This window comes from Homo sapiens, chromosome 5 (genome assembly GCF_000001405.40).
Source record: "Homo sapiens chromosome 5, GRCh38.p14 Primary Assembly".
Lineage (NCBI taxonomy): Eukaryota > Metazoa > Chordata > Mammalia > Primates > Hominidae > Homo > Homo sapiens.
Window position 1 is genome coordinate 150,570,309 of NC_000005.10, and position 23,078 is coordinate 150,593,386.

General features: G+C 50.9%; 1 protein-coding gene across 4 annotated transcripts in view, besides 4 other annotated features; it reads left to right on the plus strand.

The window, feature by feature from the left end:
• Positions 3,586-4,572: an enhancer, noted in NCBI's record as "H3K4me1 hESC enhancer chr5:149953456-149954442 (GRCh37/hg19 assembly coordinates)". NCBI's record gives its function as "activates a minimal SCP1, AML or CMV promoter by ChIP-STARR-seq in naive H9 embryonic stem cells {active_cell/tissue: H9 hESC(naive)}" and the evidence as "EXISTENCE:reporter gene assay evidence [ECO:0000049][PMID:30033119]".
• Positions 6,311-7,017: an enhancer, noted in NCBI's record as "H3K4me1 hESC enhancer chr5:149956181-149956887 (GRCh37/hg19 assembly coordinates)". NCBI's record gives its function as "activates a minimal SCP1, AML or CMV promoter by ChIP-STARR-seq in naive H9 embryonic stem cells {active_cell/tissue: H9 hESC(naive)}" and the evidence as "EXISTENCE:reporter gene assay evidence [ECO:0000049][PMID:30033119]".
• Positions 15,702-23,078, plus strand: part of SYNPO (synaptopodin) — a 73,198-nt gene continuing 65,821 nt past the window's right edge. For all 4 annotated transcript variants that reach the window (XM_047416688.1, XM_047416689.1, XM_047416687.1 and 1 more), the window contains exon 1: positions 15,702-15,814. The gene's annotated coding sequence lies outside the window, so the exon portion shown is untranslated. The remainder of the gene's footprint in view (positions 15,815-23,078) is intronic.
• Positions 19,911-20,410: an enhancer, noted in NCBI's record as "H3K4me1 hESC enhancer chr5:149969781-149970280 (GRCh37/hg19 assembly coordinates)". NCBI's record gives its function as "activates a minimal SCP1, AML or CMV promoter by ChIP-STARR-seq in naive H9 embryonic stem cells {active_cell/tissue: H9 hESC(naive)}" and the evidence as "EXISTENCE:reporter gene assay evidence [ECO:0000049][PMID:30033119]".
• Positions 19,958-20,157: an enhancer, noted in NCBI's record as "active region_23422". NCBI's record gives its function as "activates an Ori minimal core promoter by ATAC-STARR-seq in GM12878 lymphoblastoid cells {active_cell/tissue: GM12878}" and the evidence as "EXISTENCE:reporter gene assay evidence [ECO:0000049][PMID:35858748]".

Here is a 23,078-nt window from a genome sequence, read left to right on the forward strand (position 1 = left end):
CTTGGCCCCCAGACTCCTGCTCACTTGCATGTAATCTCACTTAGGTTTGTGCAGACCCTCCACCCTCCAGTTCTCTAACTAGTGGTGCCCACCCGGCTCCTGGCAGCTCATGGCCTAAGGAGGACAGGCAAAGGGCAATTCCCAGCCCCCATCTGCCCCCCAGTGTGGCCAGGGCCCATCTGCACAGCTGGAGTTGGTTACCCAGCTGTTTATGGGTCTCTGCCTCTGGTGTTTATAGTTCCGCCTTTGGGTCTGCTTTGCATCCCCACTAATGAGAACAATGCCCCAGGAGGCGGCGGCGGGTGGTTGGGGGACCACTGGACGCTGAGCAGTGGGCTGGGCCTGTGTCCTGGCTTCTGCCTTGCCTGGTTCTAACGAGGATTTCAGGCCCTTTACAAGGACACAGGAAGGACAGCAAGGTGGCCCATACGGAAACAGACACGCCTAGGTGAGGAGCGAGGAGGCGAGAAGGCTAAGAATGAGTTTGCCGTGACTTAGGCACTCAAGGCAGGGGAGAGTTGGGGCCAAATCTTTCCTTTTAAGAAAATGCATTTTTTTCTTTCATCACAAGAGTTATAAATCTCTATTGTGGAAACTTTAGAACATACAGACACATAAGAAGAAAATCTAAATGTCTGTATCCCACCACCCTGGATAATCATGTTTCACATTTTAGGACATTTCCTTTCTGTCTGATATATAAAGTTGTTTTTGCAGAAAGGAGAATATGCATACACTGTATTTTACAAACCTCCTTTATTTTTATTTTTATTTTTTGAGACAGAGTCTTGCTCTGTCACCCAGGCTGGAGTGTAGCGTTGCAATCTTGGCTTACTGCAACCTCCACCTCCTGAGTTCAAGTGGTTAGATTCTCATGCCTCAGCCTCCCACGTAGTTGGGACTACAGGTGTGTGGCACCATGCCTGGCTAATTTTTCTATTTTTAGTAAAGAGGGGGCTTCACAGCCGGGCACAATGGCTCCTGCCTGTAATCCCAGCACTTTGGGAGGCTGAGGTGGGCGGATCACAAGGTCAGGAGTTTGAGACCAGCCTGGCCAACATAGTGAAACCCCTTCTCTACTAAAAATATAAAAAATTAGCCGAGCATGGTGGCGGGCACCTGTAATCCCAGCTACTCAGGAGGCTGAGGCAGGAGAATCACTCAAACCTGAAAGGTGGAGGTTGCAGTGAGCCAGGATTGCGCCATTACACTCCAACCCGGGCAACAGTGCAAGACTCCATCTCGAAAAAAAAAAAAAGAAAAGAAAAAGAAAAAGAGGGGTTTCACCATGTTGACCAGGCTCATCTTGAACTCCTGGCCTCAAGTGATCCACCCGCCTTGGCCTTCCAAAATGCAGGGATTATAGGCATAAGCCACCACGCCCAGCCTACAAACTCTTTTAAATCATAATAAATTGTCAACATATTTATATGTTATTAAATATTTCTCTACTACATCAAATTATGTTATTTCTATTTTGATTATAATACAAGATTATTGTGAAAGAATTGCAATCATTAGTGAAGTGCACAAAATTTAAGGCTCAAATGTCCCCCTCTTTCCTGTCCCCCAGTAATACTTCTAACCCTTTGGTGGAAATCTCTCAGATATTCTCCTATGTACATGACAAACTGGTGTACATGGTAGAGCTGTGTCATAGTTTATTTAAATAATTCTGTCACAGTGGGCATTGAGGTTAGGTACACAGCTGTTTGAAGCCCACAGGCAGCCAGTGTGACCAGCAAAGCCTCCTGGTTCCAAGAGCAGATCATAGTTTCTCCCAGGAAATCTCACTAGGGCAGCATAATAAGCAATGTCCTTAACAACATGCTGGCTATTAACACAGGAATGAGTTCCATTGGGCTGTTTCCTTGTAAGGTCATGTTTGCTTTTACTTTTTAAGTTAATACAATTAATAACATTCATCGCAGAAAAATTTAAAAATACAAATAGGCGCTGGGCGCGGTGGCTCACACCTGTAATCCCAGCACTTTGGGAGGCCGAGGCGGGTGGATCACGAGGTCAGGAGATGAGAACATCCTGGCTAACATGGTGAAACACTGTCTCTACTAAAAATACAAAAAATTAGCCGGGCATGGTGGCGGGCGCCTGTAGTCCCAGCTACTCAGGAGGCTGAGGCAGGAGAATGGCGTGAACCCAAGAGGCGGAGCTTGCAGTGAGCCGAGATTGCGCCACTGCACTCCAGCCTGGGTGACAGAGCGAGACTCCGTCTCAAAAAAAAAAAAAAAAAAATACAAATAGGCAAATGTAAGAAAATGAAAATCACCCATAATATGGAATTAAGCCCATACGTGATGTTTATAATGTCTGTTGCATGCTTAGTCTGTATGTCTGTCGCAGGCCACACACAGTGTGCTAAGTGGCTAGTATGTCTGTATGTACAATATTTTTTTTTTTTTTTTTTTGAGACGGAGTCTCGCTCTGTCGCCCAGGCTGGAGTGCAGTGGCGCAATCTCGGCTCACTGCAAGCTCCGCTTCCCGGGTTCACGCCATTCTCCTGCCTCAGCCTCCCGAGTAGCTGGGACTACAGGCGCCCGCCACCGCGCCCGGCTAATTTTTTGTATTTTTAGTAGAGACGGGGTTTCACCTTGTTAGCCAGGATGGTCTCGATCTCCTGACCTCATGATCCACCCGCCTCGGCCTCCCAAAGTGCTAGGATTACAGGCGTGAGCCACCGCGCCCGGCCTGTATGTACAATATTATCCCAATTGTACAGATGGCCACCTCTAGCTTTTTAGGTTTGGTGAATGGCCCAAAGTCTTTTGGCTGCAAGGGGGCAGAGGCTGCCGGAGGACCCGGGCCTCCAGCTTCCAAGTCTGCACCCTGAAGCACCCCTCATTCTACACCCCTCAGTTTCGTTCACTGAACTGCCTGGAGGTTTTCCTCTTCCAACATAAGATGTTATAATCTGCTTTTTTCACTTACAGATAAATTGTGACCATCTCTCGGTGTTGTTAAATAACCCTCTTTATGGAATTCCATTTTATGGATGTATCGCACTTTATTTAATTGTTGAATATGTGGGTTATTCTAGATATTTTTTAGTATCATAAACAAAGCTATGCGGAACATTTTTGTGGCTTAACCTTTGAGCGTGTTTATAGTTATTTCCACAGGGCTGTTTCCCTAATGGCCCTCGCTGACCCATCATACCAAAGGACAGGGGGGTCAGGGAGACCCTGGGTGGGGGGAGCACCCAATAAGCTGTGCTCACCTGGTTCTTAGCTGGGCCAAGTCAGCTTGAGGGGGACATCCTAATCTATGTAGAAGACAGCAGGATGCCTTATTCTTTAAACAGTCCTCTAGAAATGGTCTCAGCTGAGTTCAGAGAACCACTGAAAGGCTGGGAGCATAGCTTGATAAGTGACACCCATGTGGGCATGTGAGTGCAGCCCCCGCGGCTCTGCAGATAGTTGAATTTGAAGAGGAACGAGAGAAAACCAGTCTGCAAAGGTGATGTCCCCATCTCCAACAGAGGAAAGAGGATGCAGTCCTTCCTCTGCAGAAATGGATTCTGAAATTGGAGCAACTCCCAGAGGTCCCAGAGCTCTGCTCCCAGAAGTGCTCCAGGGGCTGTTCTAGGGGGTGGGTGGGGAACGGAGGGGCTTCACACAGTCATCCTAGTGCATGGGGCTCGGACCACAAGTTAGCCAGGGTGGAAAAGGAGAGGGTCCCAGGCAGGGGGAAAGATGAGCACGGCCTGGAGATGAGAGACAGAGCCAGCGCCGCGGAGGAGCTGAAAGCCTTAGTCTGCAGGGTGGAGGTTAGGGGCAGGGGTGCAGCAGGGGTTACAGGAGTCTGTACTTTACCCCACATGACAGGACCGCCATGATGGCTCAGTGAGGAGAGGCGTGACAAGGTTAGGGCCCTCCCTTGATGTTTTCTCACTCCCTCCCATAATTTCTCAGACACCCAGGAGCCAGGCTTGGTGGGTGCTGGGAGAGTGGCAGGGAGGAGGACACGGGTCCTGGGCCCTTGGGATGGGGCCTTCGGAGGCTCTGTGGGAGGGAAGGGAGGCTGAGCAGGGTTGCCAGTGAGGGAGACAGCTCCGTCCACTGAAGGCCCGAGGAGAAGGCACTCTCTGCTCCCCCAGGCAGGCTGCCCAGTGCCACCCACCCCTGTGGGAAATGGTGCTCCCTCTACAGGACACAGGGTGGGTGGAGTTGAGGCAACAGCAGGAGCTGTTCCATCTGCAGCGTCGCATCCCAGTTCTGCCTCTCCCTGGCTGTGTGGCCGTGGCCTGGTTGCCTACCCTTTCTGAGTCATAGTTTTGTTCTACATAAATGAAAACAATCATAAAAGGAGGATTAGATGAGATTATGCATGAAACACCCAGGTGCAGCACCTAGTAACTGCTCAATAAACATTAATTAGTACTGTCTGAAGCTTTGCCTGCCACAGAAGGAGGCGAGGTGGGCCCTTCGAGGAGCTGAGGTCTGCCCCTCCAGCTCTCTTTGTGAGGCCCTTTGAAAGGTAGAGGGAGCAGCGGAGGCCCAGGCCCTGAAACTGCGGAAACCAGAGTCAGCTGTAGATGCCACCTCTAGCCTCTTTGGAGGTCAGCCACCTTGCTCCAAGGTGAGTTCTCTCCACTCTTCTATTAAATCAAATTGTGAGTCCCCTGCCCCTGGCCCTGGGCTGGCCTCTAGGTACAGAGTGCATACTATGTGTCAGGCCCACACTATGCACCAAGCACCCTCAGATGAAATCCTCCCAGCCCCCCGTAAGGGGCTCCGGTTATACGCAGAGTTGGGCCCAGGCTTAGAGAGGTTCCGTGAGTTGCCCGGACGCAGACTGTGGGTGGCAGAGCCAGACCCCCTGCTCTCTGTCTGGCCACAGACCCTGGCTCATGACTGCTGTGCTGGGCCGTCCCTGCCTGTCCCCCTGACCCCCACATGGGGTCCCCTCACACTCCTCCCTCCCTGAGGCTGCCCCACCTGGCCCATCCTGGCCCTGCCATGGAGGTGAGCCCTGCGGCGCTCTCACAAGGCGCCATTCATCCAGGCAGGCTGCTGATTAAAACCATGTGTGGTGTGGCCAGCCAAGGTGGCGGCAGCTCCGGAAGCCAGGCCTGGCCCGGGGCTTGTGGGCCTTGAGAGGGTTGGGGGAGGGATCTGGCTGACCCACAGGCCTGGCAGGCTGGGGGTGCTCTGGGGCGGGACTGACCTCCCCAAGCCATGTACACCCACCAAGGAGACTCTGAGCTGTGATTCTGACTCCTAGGCCCAGGCTGGGGATGTGGGGGGCAGAGAGGCCCCCTCCAGGTGAAGGTAGGGACCGGGCTTGGAATGTCTAAGACCCTTGCAAGGCCCTTTTCAAGGCTGCCTGGGAAGGGCAGGCCCCGTCTATGGGGTTTGGTTACCGAGGAAGGCGTGTGTGTGTGTGTGTGTGTGTGTGTGCGCGCGCGCGCGCGCGCACACGCGCATCCATGCATATGTGCTGAAATCCATGCAAGGTGCCTCTGAGTCCTTGGACTCATGATCACTTCGGGGTTTCCTAAAGGCAATTTTGTGCAGTGGTTAAGACCATGGGCTCTGGAGGCACAAGACCTGGGTTTGAGTTCCACTTCTGCTGCTCCTGGGCTGTGTGACCAAAGGCAAGCTGCCCAGCCTCTCTGAGCCCCTCTCCTCATTCACCAGATGATGATGGAGGCCTGGTCAATGTGGTTGAGCGAAGGTGGGGCTACATTGGCTGGGTAGGCTTTTTGCTCATGGCTGGCCTTGAGGATGGGCCATCCCCAACCCGCAGCCCCAGGGCCCCTAAGTCATTTGGCTGTCACTCCTGACCTTTGAGTTGTGGCTTGTCAGGGAGCTGGGAGGGTGCTAAGTGTGGAGTGTCTGGGTTTCCTGAGGCCAGTTAGTGGAGGTGAGCAGGGGATAGGAGAGGTGATCAGGGGTAAACAGGGGAGAGCAGGGGAGAGCCAGGGAGAGCAGGGGAGAGCAGGGGAGTGTGGGATCTGCAGCCGGTGTGAGGTGTGGCTGAATTAGCTGCCCCTGCCCAGGCCAAGAACAGAGTGAGGCATTGTTCCGGGGCTGCCTCCCCTGGCACCGAGGCCCTCACAGGAAAGGGCGGGCAGGTGGGCCGCGCCATGGCTGGGACTGACCACAGGCTTGGCTGTGTTGGGACCCTTCAGGGGCCTGTCTGTGAGGAGGCACCCTGGTTTCCCCAGGAACACAAGTTTTACTGGGTGATGCAGGCCCTCTGGGAGGGAGGCCATTTGAGGGCATTTGGTCCCAACTGAGCAGCCCCCATGAGATACCCTCAGCACCTTCTCCCAAGGGTGGGAGTAGTCCCAAAATATGAGCTCCCTGGAGCCAGGGGTCCTGAGATTCTACCCTGTGCTCCAAGGCCAGGGCCCCCGACCTCAAACCTGGAAGAGCTCTGTCCCTCTTTACACTGGGCGATGCTCAGGCCCGGAGGGAGGGGTGCCTGTATCACGCAGAGAGCTCCTGGGCAGAAACTCAGCGTTGTCCTTTGGGGTAGACTGCTTAGGGAGGGGAGCGAGCATAGGCTGTTGTGAGGAGGGGCCTAGAGCTGAAGTGGAACAGCCTCCATCTCCCAGCCGTGTGACTGGGGCAGCCACCTGCCCTCTCTGAGCCTCTGTGTCCTCCAAAAGCAAAGAGAGTCCCACCACAGGGGGCCTCTATGAGGGCTGAGAAGGTGGGTTAGGGGTTCAGAGCCTCAGAGTGGCTCAGGCTGAGCTCTGGAGGCAACCTGGCTTCTAACACCAGCGCTCCCCCTGGCCAGCTGTGTCACTTTGGGCAAGACATGTTCTAAAAACATCTTCCCATGGGATTTTTGGGGAAACAAATCAGCTGCTATGTAGTCATGGGCTCACCATCATACTCAGCAGGTGTTGTGATGGTCAGTGGCCAGGCTATGGTCACCAGATATTCAGTCAGATGTTGATCTAGGTGTTCTGTGAAGGTATCTCGTAGATGTGATTAAAGTCCATAATCAGTTGACTCTTAAGTAAGGGAGACCATCTGAGATGATCTGGATGAACCTGATTTAAGTGGTTTGAGGCCTTAAAAGCAGAGCTGAAGTTTCCCTAAAGAAGAGAAGTTGTGGACACCAGCTTCAGTGCCTGAGGGTTCCAACCTGCCCTTCTGGACAACCTGCCCTGCTGTGTTAGGGTTCTCCTGAGAAACAGGACCAATAGAAGGTGTGTGCATGCATGTGTGCACATGTGTGCATTTGTGTGTGTGCACGTGTGTGCATGTGTGTGGGTGCGTGCATGTGGGTTTGTGTGTGCATGCATTTGTGCATGTGTGGGGGTGTGCACATGTGCATGCGCATTTGTGTGTGTGCATGCTTGTGCGAGTGCATATGTGCACGTGTGTGCATGCGTGTGTGTGCATGTGCATGTGTATGCATGTGTGTGTGTACCTGTGTGTGCGCACACATGTATTTATATAGATAGATTTGTTATAAGGAATTGGATCCCCAGATTATGGAGGCTGACCCATCCCAAGAACAGCAGTTGGCAAGCTGGAGCCCCAGGAGAACTGAGAATGTAATTCTTGTCTTGAGTCTGAAGGCCTGAGAAGCAAGAGAGCTATTTCAGTTCAAATCCAAAGGTAGAAAAAGCTAATGTCTGAGTTCCAAGGCCAGCAGGCAAAAATAATTCTCTCTTACTGGAGGGAAGGTCGGCCTTTCATTCTCTTCAACTTACAGGATGAGGCCCACCCACATTAGCGAGGGCCATCTGCCTTTAGTGATTCCCGTGTCAATCTCACCCAGAAACATCCTCATAGGAGAACCCAGAATAATGTTTGACCACATTTCTGGGCACCACATGGCCTAGTCAAGTTGACACATAAAATTCACCATCACACTTATGCATTTCAGACACACCTAGCCAGCTCCTACGATCGCGTAAGCCAAGTCTTTGCAGTAAATCTCTTACTATACATCTCTTACTAGTTGTGTTTCTCTGGCTGAACCCTGACTGACACACATGGTGAGCTGCGATAAGAATAACAATTGCAATTATCGCCTTTTCTGGGAAGTCCCCAGCAGTAGGTCTGCATGTCGCAGGCCCTTGGCAAGTGCCAAGGAGTCCCATTTTATAAGCGGAACGGAAGTCACAGCAGTTTCGGCCGGGTGCGGTGGCTCACGCCTGTAATCCCAGCACTTAGGGAGGCCGAGGCAGGCGGATCATGAGGTCAGGAGATCGAGACCATCCTGGCTAACACAGTGAAACCCAGTCTCTACTAAAAATACAAAAAATTAGCCAGGTGCGGTGGCAGGTGCCTGTAGTCCCAGCTACTTGGGAAGCTGAGGCAGGAGAATCACTTGAACCGGGAAGCAGAGGTGGCAGTGAGCCGAGATCGTGCCACCACACTCCAGCCTGGGTGACAGAGCGAGACTCCGTCTTAAAAAAAAAAAGAAGTCGCAGCAGTTTCTTCCATGACTCCAAAGGGCTCTAGGCAGCAAGGACAAGTCCCATCCGAAGTCCCAGCACAGACAGCCTCACGGCCCCACCTACACTCCATAGCACGACAGGGCTGGCTTCTCTGGGTGCCAAGTATGCAGAAGAGGGACGGCTCGCATAGTTCCATTGCATGCCAGGCCCTTTGCCACAAACTTCACCTATTAACCAGTCATCTAATCCTCACAATAGAGCACCAAGGTGGCTACTGATGGCGGCAGCGGCCCATCTGGAGCAGCCGCTGCAGGGACATCAGCTGCAGTCGGGGAGGCACATCAGCTGCAGTGGGGGAGGCACTGCCAGGGCTGCGCGTTCTGCAGAGCCAGAGGGGGCCAAGAACAGGCAGGAGCCCCGCCCCTACCAAGTCGGCCAGGTGGGAGCCCATGCTGCCAGGCACAGCCACAGCTCTGGACCATGGCATCCCTGTGTGCTCAGGGGCCTGGGAAGTCCCTCTCCCCGCACAGGCTCTGATGTACCTGTTCCTGCTCCTTGGCCTCTCCCTGCTCCTGGCACCTGCTCTGATTTTGGAGCAAAGTTGTGGCTGAGCCCAGGTGCTGTCACAACCCAGCTAGGTGTGCACGCATTCGAGGTGGCACTGACACACCTGCACCCCCACCACCTTGACCTCCTCTGGACTTTGGGCACCAATAAGCATGGGAGGAAGGCAAGGGACGGCTGAGGGCAGCTCAGCACTGGCCTGCTGGCACTTCTTGCCATGAACAGCCTGGATACCATGGACAGCATGTTGATGGCAGAGGCAGACAGGTCCCTGGGCAGAAAGGGGCAGGTCCCTAGTGAAACCCCACCTTCAAGCTAGGGATGGCCTGAAGCCTGGGTGCTGGGCTGCCTGTTCTGGGTGAAGTCCACAGCCCAGCCCAGAATGATAACTAATGGTGCTTTTTCCAGGCCACCTACAGCTGCCCATGGATGAATCAGCAAGCACTTTCTCCCTTCTAAGCCCATAGAAACCCAGATTCAGCCAGACTCACACAGATGTCTGGACTACCAGCTGTGGGAAGGAGCTGCCCACTGCGGGTCTTCTCTCCACTGCGAGATGGACACTTGTCAGGATGACCTGCCTGCGGGAAGGAGCTGCCCACTGTGGGTCTCCTCTCCACTGAAAGATGGACATATTGGGACAGCCTGCCTGCAGGAAGGAGCTACCCACTCTGGGTCTCTTGAGGGCTGTTCTGTCACCCAATGAAGCTCCTCTCTGTCTTGCTCACCCTCCAGTTGTCCACATACCTCATACTTCCTGGACACAGGACAAGAACTCGGGACCTACCGAATGGTGGGACTGAAAGAGCTGTAACACAAACAGGCTGAAACATGCCCCCCACTTGCCATGTTGCGGGTGGTGAGGAGAGAGGAGCTGCGGCCCTTCAGGGAGTCCAGACCTAGGGGCTCCCTGAGCCAGGGCTGTGACACCCTCTTTGGGACTCGGGTTTCTGGTGTCTCTAAGCTTCCAGGAGTCACCATGTTCCCGGGTGCCCACAGTGGAAGCTGCTTGCAGTACATCTGGTTCAACTGCAGCTTCACACAGAGCCAGCCCCTGTGCCGGTGCCTAGAGCTGCCCACCCCGCCACAGCTGGCACACCTGGCTGTGTGCAGTGGCCACCTTCCTGACAGCTCTGAGCCTCCGCTTCTAAAGAGGTTTAAGAGCAATAGTGACGGGTTTCTTTTATGTTTCCCTCCTTTCCAAGATGGTAATGTGGATCTACTTTGATCTCAGTTCGAATTCCAGCTTTCAACCTTGAGTTTCTGATTCATCTTTGTATCTTGGGTACTTGGCATGGAGTAGGTGTCCAATAAATTTAATTGTCACATCTTTTTATCTGGGCCTCCATTTTCTCAATTATACAGTGGGGATCCTGATATAGTCTTGGACTTTCATGTATCTGACAAATTGGTTTTTTTCTTTCTTATTTTATTCTTGCCACTTCCCTTGTATAGACTCTCTTCTCTGCTAACACCATTCCCACCCCTCATTGGGTGGAGGAGAGGAAAAGGAACCATAAGAAAGGAAGGGACGTAGAGAAGAAAGGGGCTAAGATGAGGATGCCTGCCTCTTCTACTCCACATGTTCTGGGAGTTCCAGTCAGCGTAATTAGGCAAGGAAAAGAAAAAGGCATCCAGATTGGAAAGGAAGACATAGGCTGGACATGGTGGCTCGTGCCTATAATCCCAGTGCTTTGGGAGGCCGCCAAGGTGAGAGGATTGCTTTAGGCCTGGAGTTTGAGACCAGCCTGGGCAACAAAGCAAGACCTCACTTCAACAAAATAAAAAAAAAATAAGCCAGGTGTGATGGTGTGTACCTGTCATCCCAAGCTACTCAGAAGGCTGAGGCTGGAGGATTGTGTAAGCCCAGGAGTTCAAGGCTGCGGTGAGCTGTGATCACACCACTGCACTCCAGCCTGGGTGACAGAGCAAGACCCTGTCTCTATAAAAATATACATAAGTAAAAGTAAAAGAAAAAAAGAAAGGAAGCAGTAAAGCTATCTCTAGTCACAGATGATATGATCTTACACATAGAAAATCCTAAGAAATTCACTAAAAAACTATTGGAACTCATAAATAAGTTCAGCAAGGTTGCAGGATACAAGATTGATATACAAACATAAATTGTATCTCTACACATTCAAAATCAACAATCCAGAAATTAAATTAACAATTCCACTCACAGTAGCATCAAAAAGAATGAAATACGTATACATAAACTTAACAAAATAAATGCAAATTTTATACTCTGAAAACTACAAAACTGTTGAAAGAAAGTAAAGACTTAAACAAGTGGAAAATACTATATATTCCTGGACTGGATGACTCAATTAACATTGTTAAGATGGCAGTACTCCCAAAATTGATCTACAGATTCAACACAACCCTTGTCAAATAGCTGATATAAATTGTATAAATTGACATTCTAATTCTACAATTCATATGGAATTTCAAGGGATCCAGAATAGTCAAAACAATACTGAAAAAGAATACAGCAGGAGGACTCACACATTGAGATTTTAAAGCAACTGCAAAGCAACAGTAATCATGACAGTGTGGCACAAGGGTATGTATTTATCAAGTCTAGAGTCTAGAAATAAATCCATACATCTATGGTCAACTGACAAGGGTTCAAAGAAAGACCATTCAGTGAGGGAAAGAATAGTCTTTTCCACAGAAGAAAAGAAAGAGCTTGGGCTTGGGAATTTGGCAGATTCTGCCATTGTCTTGCTGTGTGACTCTGAGCAAGTGGCTTAACATCTCAGAGCTGAAGTTTTCTCATCTGTTAACATGAGGATGAGAGTGTTCATATCACAGGCATAGACACTTGAGATCTCCTATGTGAGTGCTTAGCAGAGCAGGCCTCTTGGGCAAGTGCACGAAGGCAGAGGAGTACTGTGGGAATCTGCTAGTGGCCATTAGGTCGCTCCTTCCAGGACCCCCAGGAACCCCTTTCCCCAGGAACAGGCAGGGTCGGTGGGGCTTGAGTGTGCAGACGGGGCTTGGCGGGGTTCTGCGGGTTGGTAATAAATGAACAGGAAAGGAGATTCCATTACGCAGGAATGTCTGGGGAGGGGGTGGGGAAGGAGCCGGCTCTTCTCCCAGCACCAGCCAGCTCTGCGGTCTTGATTGATGTGCCTTGCACCGCGGCAGCGGCGGGCCTGGTGGAAAGAGGCCCCTTCACTCACCCTTCCTGGAGCTAGGCCAGCAGCCAGATGTTCCTGGCCTTTGGGGAGCTGGGGTGGGGGCAGGGGAGGCCGGCAGCGGGCCAGAGGGCAGCTGCCCAGACGGCGAACCTCTCTACCTCCTTCTCCTCAGCAGCTGGGCCCAGGTGGCGTTGGCTGTACTGCTGACCTTTGGCCGATGGCTGTCTCTCCTGGACTTTGGCTCTGTTCAGAATTGGGGGTGGGGTTCTCACCCACCCTGTCCTGCTGGGAGAGGCACACAGCTGCCTAGGAAAGGGCTTTCAGCTCCAAAAAGGAAAGTATCCCACCTGCCCAAGGTTCTTGTGTTACCCTGGCCAGAGCCACAGGGGGAGGTGTGACTGGCACCTGAACCACCCATGGAGGAGGAAAATCCAGGTTGAGGCCCCTGAGTGAGTGGTTTGGGAGAGGGTCTGAAAGCAGATTCTGGACTTCTCAGAGAAAGTCCCTCCAGCAGGTGCTAAGATGAACCCAAGGCGCATTTCCTCATGAGTGCCTCTCAAGTACGGTGATTATAGCAGAGGGCTGCAGGCCACCATCTCTAGCCCTTTCGGTGGTTTTATTATTATTGTTGTCATATTTTTTTTAAGAGACAGGGTCTCAAACTCCTGGCCTCAAGAAATCCTCCCACCTCAACCTCCCAAAGTGCTGGGATTACAGGCATAAACCACTGCACACAGCCAATGATTTTATTGTTAAACACATAACAGCTAGAAGAGAATATAACAAAACAGATAACTAAATATCACCCCAAAATTACCATGTAAAATGACTGACTGCCAATATGTTGGTGTCATTTCTCCTATTATTTCTGTCCTGGGTCTCTGTAGTATTTATGTATGTTTACTTTTCAGGAAAGTGGGCTCATCATACTCATCTAGCTTTGTCACTTTCCTTCTTCTACTCAACACCAGTGGTGCACACCTGGCCACGTCAGGAAATGCAGATCCACTTTGACCTTTTTAGGGCCGTTCCATCGTATAGCTGCCTGATGTTGTCGAGCTTTTAGGGGATTTTCAAAATGTCCCTTGAATGGACAATGCAGCATTGAATCTCTTGGTACCTGCACCTTCGTACACATGTGAATTATTTCCTTGGGATAAATGGCAAGAAGTAAAACTGCTCAAAGGGTAAACCTATGAACCAACTGAACTCGCACACGCAGGCCCTCATTCTTCCCTCTGCTTATGTCCTTCCCTCAGAGCTGCCCGCGATGTCTACTGTGCCCCCACCCCACCTTGGAAGGTGGTTAGTGGTACTGCAAGGCCCTTCACCTGTGGCTGGGGGGGCACTCTGACCAGACAAGGTTGGCCTGGGAGGCCAGAAATATCTCACCCCATTGATCTCTCTCTAGAGGGCATCTCACGGTGGGGAAGTCCTGGACTGGAACAGAAAGGACCTTGGCTATGTCCTGTCTAGTCCACACTTTACCCACTGGGAGTGACGAGGGGCCAGTACCACAGCCTCCTTCAGTTTATACAGTCTGTGAATGACAGCAGGTCCTCTACAATATGCCCACTGCAGGGACTTCTGCGACTCACGTGGGGACTGTGAAAGGCACAAGGGCAGGATGTTCATGTCATGGGCACTGCCCCAGGCAGAGGCCTGTGCAGTGACAGCCCAGCTTCCTACCAACAGACTGGAAACCCTGGCCAGGGCAAGAGCAGCTCAGCCCTGCAGTGAGCAACTAAAGAAGACTTGGCTGCTTCTCTTTGAGGACAGGGATGTGTGACAAAGCGGCATGAGCTGTGACTGCTCAGAGAAGGCTGGAGTAGAATGGACTTGGGGGTGACCTCTCAAGGCTTCCTGGAACCTGAGAATCCCAACTGCATGGAACTAGCACCTTTCTTGACATTTGCATGCAGATGCTCATTTAACTTTGCACATAAAGTCAGCTACTACCAGCAGCATTCTCTACCCTACACACACACACACACACACACACACACACACACACACACACACACACACACTCTCCCTCTCTAACTAAAGACTGCACCTTCATTGCCTCACACTGCAGATCACATTCGGACACACAATAATAATAATGTAGTAATAATTTTAATAACACCTATTGAGCGTTTACTACATGCCAGGCCCTTCCCAGGCATTGTCCAAGCCTCCTTTCGTTAGCTTCATTGCAAGGATGAGAGAAAGTCACTTGCCTAAGGTCACAGAGATGCTGAGCAGAGGAGCCCCACCCACAGCACACACTCCTCTCCCACCACTCAGACACAACCTGGCCCCCCAACTCCCTGCACGCTGCCTTCCTGCCCGGGCTGTGGTAGCCGAGTGTTCACCACATGAACCCCCCACGCCTCACCCAGCCCTTGGTACACAGTGGAACAGACCTGGCTTGTCCAGATTCAGGCAGCTAGAGACACAGTAACTATAATAAACACAGGCTGTAAACCACCTTCTTGGCTTGTACAGATGCGGAGTTTTCCCCAGACCTGCGCTTCTGAACTGGATGGGGGGCAGCCCCTTGCCCCGTCCCTGAATCCTTTTTCTTTCCCTCTTTTTCCTGTCTGCCTCCCCCTGCTGTCTCCTCCTTTGCTCTCTCAAGCCACTGGAGGACCTACCTGCTGTGTGCCTGGCACTGAGGTCGCCACTGGGGCTGTGGTGGGGTGGGTAGCTCAGGTTCCCATCCTTTGGGAAACTGAGAGCTCATCCCATCATGTGAGGCCTAGAAGGAGGGGGCTTGCTCAGGTCACACGAGGAGGGAGCGTAGAGCCAGGCCTCACGGTTGAGGCTCCCTGTGCCCAGGCCAGGGCTTTTATTTGGGGAGACAGCACAGGCCACTGGGAGCACTAATGGTCTAAGGTGGCATGTGTTGCACTCCAAATACATGGCTCAGACATGGAATCCTAAGGGAGTTCAGAGTGGCCCTGACATGAGTTGTATCTTCCATGTGCTGGGTGCTTGTGCGCACCAGGTCCTTTATATACATTCTCTTATTTAGTCTTCCTGATAACCCAACAAGCAGATACTATGATTATCATCTTTCCCCCATTCTACAGACAAGGAAACCAAGGCTCACAGCTGTCAAGACTCAAACCTAGGTCTGTTTTCTCTAAAACCTCAGCTCTCCCAGCAGGCTGACCTGCCTTGGATGAGGAAGGGACTGGGGCACCGAATGGATAAAGGCTTTGACGAGGAGCTGGGGTTTCAGCAGACCTTGATAAGGATGGGAGGAAAGAGGGGGACATCCTGGAAAGTGGGCACTGTTTGAGCCAAGGTATGGAAGCCGAAACATACCCATTGAGCCCTGGGACCAGCGAGGTGACAGCCCGATCAGAGGGAGGCTTTTGGCTAAGGGAGCCATTTGAGCTCTTGGCATCCTGCAGCTTATTCCTTGGAGGAAGGGCTGGCAGGTGAGCCTAGCCCAGGAACCCAAGTCTGGGGAGCTCTTGGAGGCTCTGCCAGGGTTGGCCCCAGAGGAACTTGGGAGGCCCTGAGCTGGGCAAAGTTCTCCTTGGCGTCATAAACCAGGCCCCATGGAAGGAGGAGCCAAGAGGTTCCTAGTGGCTGTGCCACCCCCAGCGAGGGACACTGCCAGGGGCCGGCACAAGTACCAGGCTCTGAAGGTCCTCAGGATTCATTGGCATCAGGTTCCCTGCTGTATGGCGCAGCTGCAAGCCAGCATGCAGGACTGGCAGAGGTGAGTGCCAGGCAGAGGCTCCCCTCGGCCTTGGCAGACCTGGTGGGGCTGGAAAATCGGGAAGGGAGAAGGGAAAGCTCATGCTTGACAGCTGTCTCTCTAGGGTGAGGCAGCTGAGGCCACTGCTGTGATAAGCTCGTTAAACCACAAATCACAGAGGCTAGAATCAATCTTCCGCTGCAGTGGAGCTTCCTAAAATAGAACACAGCCCGTGGGCTCACCTGCCACTTCAATCTCCCTCTCCTTGTCAAATGCCGTCTCATCTTTCGGGTCTTAGCTCTAGCTACTCTTCCTCAGGGAAGCCCGCCCTGATACCTAACCCCCAACCCCCACTATAAACTGGAGATATGGTCAAACTCCAGAATAGCACTTCAAAAACTGAGGCTTTTCCTATGCTGGGTAGGTAGGTGGATAAATAGACAGATGGATACATGGACGGGTGGATGGAAGGATGGATGGATGGATGGATGGATGGATGGATGGATGGATGATGTCTGGGCAGAACTTTGGTTTGTTATTATATATTCATTTGTGGAATTATTTGATTGATATTGTGCCCCTTCTAACTGCAAGCCCTGAAAAGGTAGCAGTTGTGTCGATCATGTTCACCAGACTATCCTCAGGCCCTGGAATATAGTAAAAACCTGAGAAATATTAGTAGAACAAGTTGAATGGATGCTTGAGTGGATGTGGATGGGTAGATGTATACATGGATGCATGGATGGATATGTGGATGCATGGATGTGTATGTAGATGCATGTATGTATATGTGGATTCATGGATAGTTATATGGAAGCACGGTTGGATATATGGATTCATGGATGGATATATGGATGCACGGATGAGTATGTAGATACATGGATGGATATATGGGTGCATGGATGGATATATGAATTCATGGATGGATATGTGGATGCATATATGTATATGTGGATTCATGGATGTATATATGGATACATGGATGAATATATGGATACATGGATGTATATATGGATGCATGGATGAGTATTTGGATGTATGGATGGATATAGGGGTACATGGGTGGATATATGGATGGATATGTTAATGGATGGATGGATGGATGGATATAGGGATGCATGGATGGATATGTGGATGGATGGATGGATATATGGATGTGTGGATGGATATGTAGATTCATAGATGAATATGTGGATGATGCATGTATGTGTATGTGAATGCTGCATGTAGGTATATGTGGATGCAGGGATGAAGATGTGGATTCATGGATAGATATGTGGATTCATGGATGGATATGTGGATGCATGGATGGATGGGTGAGTGGCAGGATGAACGAGTGGAAGAATGTATAGAAGAATGGATGCTGGGTAGGTAGGTGGATAAATAGGCGGATGGATACATGGAGGGGTGGATGGAAGGATGGATGGATGGATGTCTGGGTGGAACTTCAGAATGTTAGACTGTTAGAATGTTCATAATCATGAAACTCTAGAATGCTAAAGACAGGTACCTTTTATTTATTACATTGTTAAAATAAAACATAGCATTATAATTAGAAGGGACAATTAAGAGCTCAGTTCCCTCTTATAGGAGATGAGCAGATAGGCTCTGAGAAGTGAAATCGATGTGTCCAAGGCCACACAGCAAATTAGGTGTCCACAAATCTGTTTTCTCACCACTGTGTGAAACAGCCTCTGGAAAAGGGGCCAGAAGGCTTTGTTCCAGTCCTGTCTCTTCTGAGGTTTCTGTGTGACTTGGGACAAGTCATTGGGACTCCATTTTCTCTTTAGAAGAAAAGATTGGGTCTCTCCCAGGGGCAAAATCTAGCTATTCCCTTGCATTTTTGGGAAGGTCAGCCTTACTGAGCTGTGTTGGATATCCCTCCCCATACCTTTCTCAAAGCCCAATAGAGTTGTCAGGATGAACGCCAGGCCCCTAGGGGTAAAGTGAAGTAATTTTACAATGAGTCAGTGTACAGTATGAATTTTTTTAGTTTCAAAAAAGTGTGAAAACATGGTTCCATATTCCATAGAGGATAGTCCAAAGGCCTCAGCCTGACTTTATGGACCCTGGGAGCTTCTGGGACCTCCCATTCTGGTCTGAGGACCAACCTCCAACTCCCTCTTGAGCCAGCCTGGCCACCGGCCATATCTCCATGCGTGACTTTCCACTCTCTGGTGTGCCCCGGGGGTCGGGGGAAGCTGCGTGTTATAAAAGGGCCCTTAGTGAGTTTCTGGTACCACATAACCTTCCTGGAACTTTGTCACTACCCTGGACTTCTGCAACCCCAGCCTCTGAAGCTGGGGGTGTGTCTGCCAGGGGGAACTTCCCCTCCCCCAGAGCCAGCCTCAGGCTGCCTGTCCCCACCCAGAGGAAAAGGGGCTCCACATGTTGGGAAGGGAAGGACCTCTGCAGCAGCCATGGAAGAAAGTAGGTCTTGAGCATCTCAGAGCCCCAGACACCCAGGATTGTGGGAGTCAGAGAGAAGGGGATCTCAGTCTGTCTAGGAGAGTGGGGGAGAAAAACCATCCTATATGGCAGAGGTTAGGGGTGGGGTGCAGGAAGGGGGCAGGGGAGAGAAGAGGAGGCTGGGGCGGTGCTCCCAGGAGCTCCCAGGGGCCATAAAGTCAGTCTAATGAGGCCTTTGGACTTTATCCTCTGTGGAATATGGAACCTTTTTTTTTAAAGGTGTTCACACTTTTTGACATAAAAAAATTTGTATTGCACAGTCACTTATTTACAAAAAAAAGGCAGCAAACAATACAACTGAATTCTTAGTAAAAAATAAATTTTCCTTCCCCTCTCCCAATTCCTTCTTGAGAAGCAAACCCTTTTGACAGGTCTTGTATGTCTTTGGAGCAATATTCGAGGCTATATTGATTCAATGCATTCCATTGCTTCCTTTTTGTAAGTGGTAATGTACTATACACACCATTCTCTGTTCCAGTGTATGCTTTATAGATTTTTTTTTTTTTCTGGAGACAGAGTCTCGCTGTGTTGCCTAGGCTGGAGTGCAGTGGTGTGATCTTGGCTCACTGCAACCTCCGCCTCCTGGGTTCAAGCAATTCTCCTGCCTCAGCCTCCCGAGTAGCTGGGACTACAGGTGTGCGCCACCACACCCAGCTAATTTTTTTGTATTTTCAGTAGAGACGGGGTTTGGCTATGTTGGCCAGGCTGGTCTTGAACTCCTGACCTCAAGTGATCCACCCACATCAGCCTCCCAAAGTGCTAGGATTACAGGCAAGAACCACCACACCCAGCCTTACAGATAATTTCTGAGCAGCACATGTAGGTGTATCTCATTGGTTTTACCCCCACTTACTGTCCTGCCATATAGACGCTCTGCACGTCATTACCCATCCCTACGAATGGACCTTGACATCATTTCTAGCCATTTGCTTCCACAAACAACCCTGCGATGAACATATCCTCACGCATTCACCTTTGAGCATGTGGGCTGGTGTGCCAGCTGGATAACTTCCTAGAAGTGGTATTGCTGGTCAAAGGATACATGCATTTAATTCAGTATGTGTCACCACATTGTTGCCTAGAAGGTTTTGAGCAGGGGAATGACAGGCCCCCGTGGTCTGGTCAGTTGCTGCTAATGCATTTGGCAGGAGGTAGAAAGAGCAAATTATTGGATTATGAGCCACACAGTCTCCAGGTCTGAGATGGACTAAAGTATCTTCAAATGAGGGTTTATTCAGAGTCCCTGTGAGCCCTTTCAAAGCCCCCAGCTCTGTGCTCTCTGTAGTGCTCTCTGGAGCCTGGGAGAAAGGGATTCCAGTAGACAAGTTCCTTTGCTGTGGGGAGAGGTCCCCAGTTCACCAGTCATGCAAGGACCCACATCCCCCGCCAGGGGTGGCTGCAAACAACCTAGTGGGGAGAGGACAGGCTGCCGACAGCTGCAAGGAACGAAGTTCAGCCAAAGCCCGCGCAGAGGGCTGCCAAGAGTTTTTTCTTTTCATTTTTCCAAGCCTTGCGCTTTGGGCTGGGGCACAGTGTCATCCTCATGTTTCCTATTATTTTACAAGGCTCCCATCAAAGCGCCAGCCGCACAGGCTCTTTGATGTCTGAGCTGGAGCCTGCCTCTGCCTTGGGGAGAAGCATCTTTGCTGAGGATCAAGAGGTGAATGAGGCCTGAGATGGTCCCCATGCCTCTCCCCTACGTGCTCCCCTGGCTCATCTCCTGGCTGGGACCATAGGCCCCTGGAGGGGGAGAGAGGGACCGCCACAGCCAGCCAAGCTGAAAAGCCTCTAAGATAGCTCAGAAGGGGATGTGGAGGCCCAGAGAGGGCCAAGGGGCTGCTCCAGGCCACACAGCAACTTGGTAGAGCACTTCAGCTCTGGTGGTGATCAGACGCTGGGTGAGACAGCAGAGGGGATTTCTACCAGAGTCAAACCAAGCCTGGCAGGCAGCCTTTGTCTCTTGGTTTCTCAGTTTCTCCACCTCACGTCCTAGAAGTCTTTTGGGGCTGATACTGTGCATCTGAGGGTGGCGCTTGTGTGGGCTCTGTCCCTTCTAAATACGTGACCTTGAGCAAGTTACTTAACACAACCAAGCCTCAGCTTTTTCCTCTCTAAAATAAGATAATGGCAATTGTCAGCTTAGAGGGTCCCTGTGTGGGTGCAATAAGAAGATTCACAGAAAATACTTAGCACGGTGCCTGACACGTGAAGGGTCTCGAAAAGGAAGGGCTGTTATCGTTGTTGCTGGTAATGACAATAAAGAAGTGGGAAGGGGGCTTCTAAGGAGAAGAGGCTGGTGCAGCATAGACTTGCTGCTATACCTCCCCGTCCTCAGCCCAGTCCTGGTCTAAGAAGGGACTGGGGCCTTCTCTGCAATCCAGGGAATTAGCTCCTTTTCTGCCCCCCTCCCAGCCCCTACCTCTAATTCCAAGGCTGTCTTCTGAGCCTCAGGGTTAGAGGGGGTGGGGAACAGATGAGGCAAAGGTGCCAGGCCTGGGATGGGGGCACTAATGGTGTCTGGGCCGGAAGGTCTGGTAGGTGGGGGAGGGGTGTCTGGAGGACATGGCCCGCAGCCCTGACTCCCGGAGGCAGCCAGAGTGGAAGTGGGGGTGGGTCTTGGCAAAGCTGAAAAGGCTGGGATTTGACTTGGAAACACATTGAGAAGTCCCTGGCGGCTGCCTCCTCAGTAACAGCCCCTCTGAAGCTGAGCCCGGGACGGGGAGGCTGTTTTGTATAAAGGGGCTCTGGGGACCTCAGTGATGGAGAATGGACTGAAACCTCTCCCCCAGAACTGCAGCATGCGCAGCTGAGCCCCCAGCACTTCCTGCAGGCCTGCCCCAGGGGCTGCAGAATTCCAGCCATCAAGCCTGTGTGGACAAGGGACGGGGCAGGGGAGGAAGGGACCCTGGAGTTCACAGATGGGAAAGGGCAGAAGCGCCGTCTCAGATAGCCCCAAGCCCTGGTCTCTTGGCCTTCGCCTTCCTGTTTTTTGTCACAACTGCATTGAACCTGTGATGTTACTTACGTAACAGTTTTCTTTAAATTGATTCACTTTTTAAAACCTGAATACAGTTATTTCAAAGGGAATTTGATATTGCTACTGTAAAGGGAAGATAGTAACACTCACCGTACATAGTAACCATGTAAATAAAATACAATAAAAACAAAACAATGTTGTTAAATTTTACCTAGAGCCTGAGACTTGTTCTCTCTCTCTCTGATAAAAAGGAAGATTAACAAGCGTCAGAGCTATGTTAAAGACAGGCTAGCACCCAACTAAGACTTTCTTCTTGATTATATCTGCCAGATAAAATACAAGATGCCCTGGCTCACTCCTGTAATCCCAGCACTTTGGGAGGCCGAGGTGGGTGAATCACCTGAGGTCAGGAGTTCGAGACCAGCCTGACCAACATGGAGAAACCCCGTCTCTACTAAAAATACAAAATTGGCTGGGCATGGTGGCGCATGCCTATAATCCCAGCTACTCGGGAGGCTGAGGTGGGACAATTGCTTGAACCCGGGAGACGGAGGTTGCGGTGAGCTGAGATTGCTCCATTGCACTCCAGCCTGGGCAACAAGAGTGAAACTCCGTCTGAAAAGAAAAGAAAAAGAAGAAGAAGAAGAAGAAGAAAAGATACAAGATGCCCATTAGGTTTGAATTTCAGATAAACAATGAATAATTTTTTAGTATATATCCTAAATATTGCGGAGGCCCTACTTACCCTGGAAAAAGTTATTTCTTATTTATCTGAAATTCAAATTAACTGGGTCTCCTGTATTTGTACTTGCTGAATCTGGCAACCCCACCCTCAATGAATGAAAGAGAGTTTTTAAAGGAACAGCTTTCTCACTGCTAAGTGATATTGGATAGTTCCATGTCCCTATGCCACCAAGAAAAAAAAATCTTGAGAAACACTGTTCTGATTCAAGGTGGAATTAGACCAACAAAACACGCTAGTGTGGGAATCTGCAAGTAGGTTAAGAACATCCCAAATGGGGGAAATTCTGACGGCTCCATGCAGGAGAAGGAGGCATTGGGGCTGGACCCATAGGCCAGCTAGTGTAAGACAGCAATCTTGGAGCCCGAGCACCCTTCCTCCCATTGAGCCATAGCCTGGAAGACAGAGGCCACTCCTCAGTGATTAAGGCTTGACCCTTCTTTCTGAAGACCGGGGATCTTGTGTTCGAGTGACTGTGGTTTGTGAGCTTGAGTGACTGAGTGTGTTTGCCCAAATCACACCCTCTCAAGATGGAAAAGGGCTTTTAAGGGTATCTCCTCTAATACCACCTACCAGTCCTGCCCACCCCATGTGGGCATCTGAACCTTGTGTCCAGTGATAGGGTGCTCACCACCTACCAAGGTATGTCTTTCCATCACTGGGCAGCTTAGGAAGCTCTTCCTTAGGCTGAACAGAAACCTGCCTTCCTGTTATGTCTCTGTAGATTAACCGCTGCCTTCTGAACAAAGTGCTCCCCTCTGTCCCGGGACAGTCCTTCAGAGCTGTATTGGTAGCCCACTGGAGTCTGAATAGACATACTTCTTTGAATTCTACCTGTTATGGCCTGGTCTCTGGCTTTCTCATTTGCGGAGAAATGGCCTTAGGCCCCCAGACCAGGGCATGCCTGGAGGCCCTGACTTGTGTGCTATCTTCAGGCAGGGAATAAGAATGAGGTTTGTCCTGGGAGCCGGGGCCAGGGCAGAGCCAGGACAAGGAGGAAAGCTCCTTTCTGAGCTTTTGGATGCTGAGTCTGCAGGAGTTGCAGGCAGAGCCCCGGAGACCTGGGTTCTGTTCCCTACGCAGTCCCTTATTTGTTG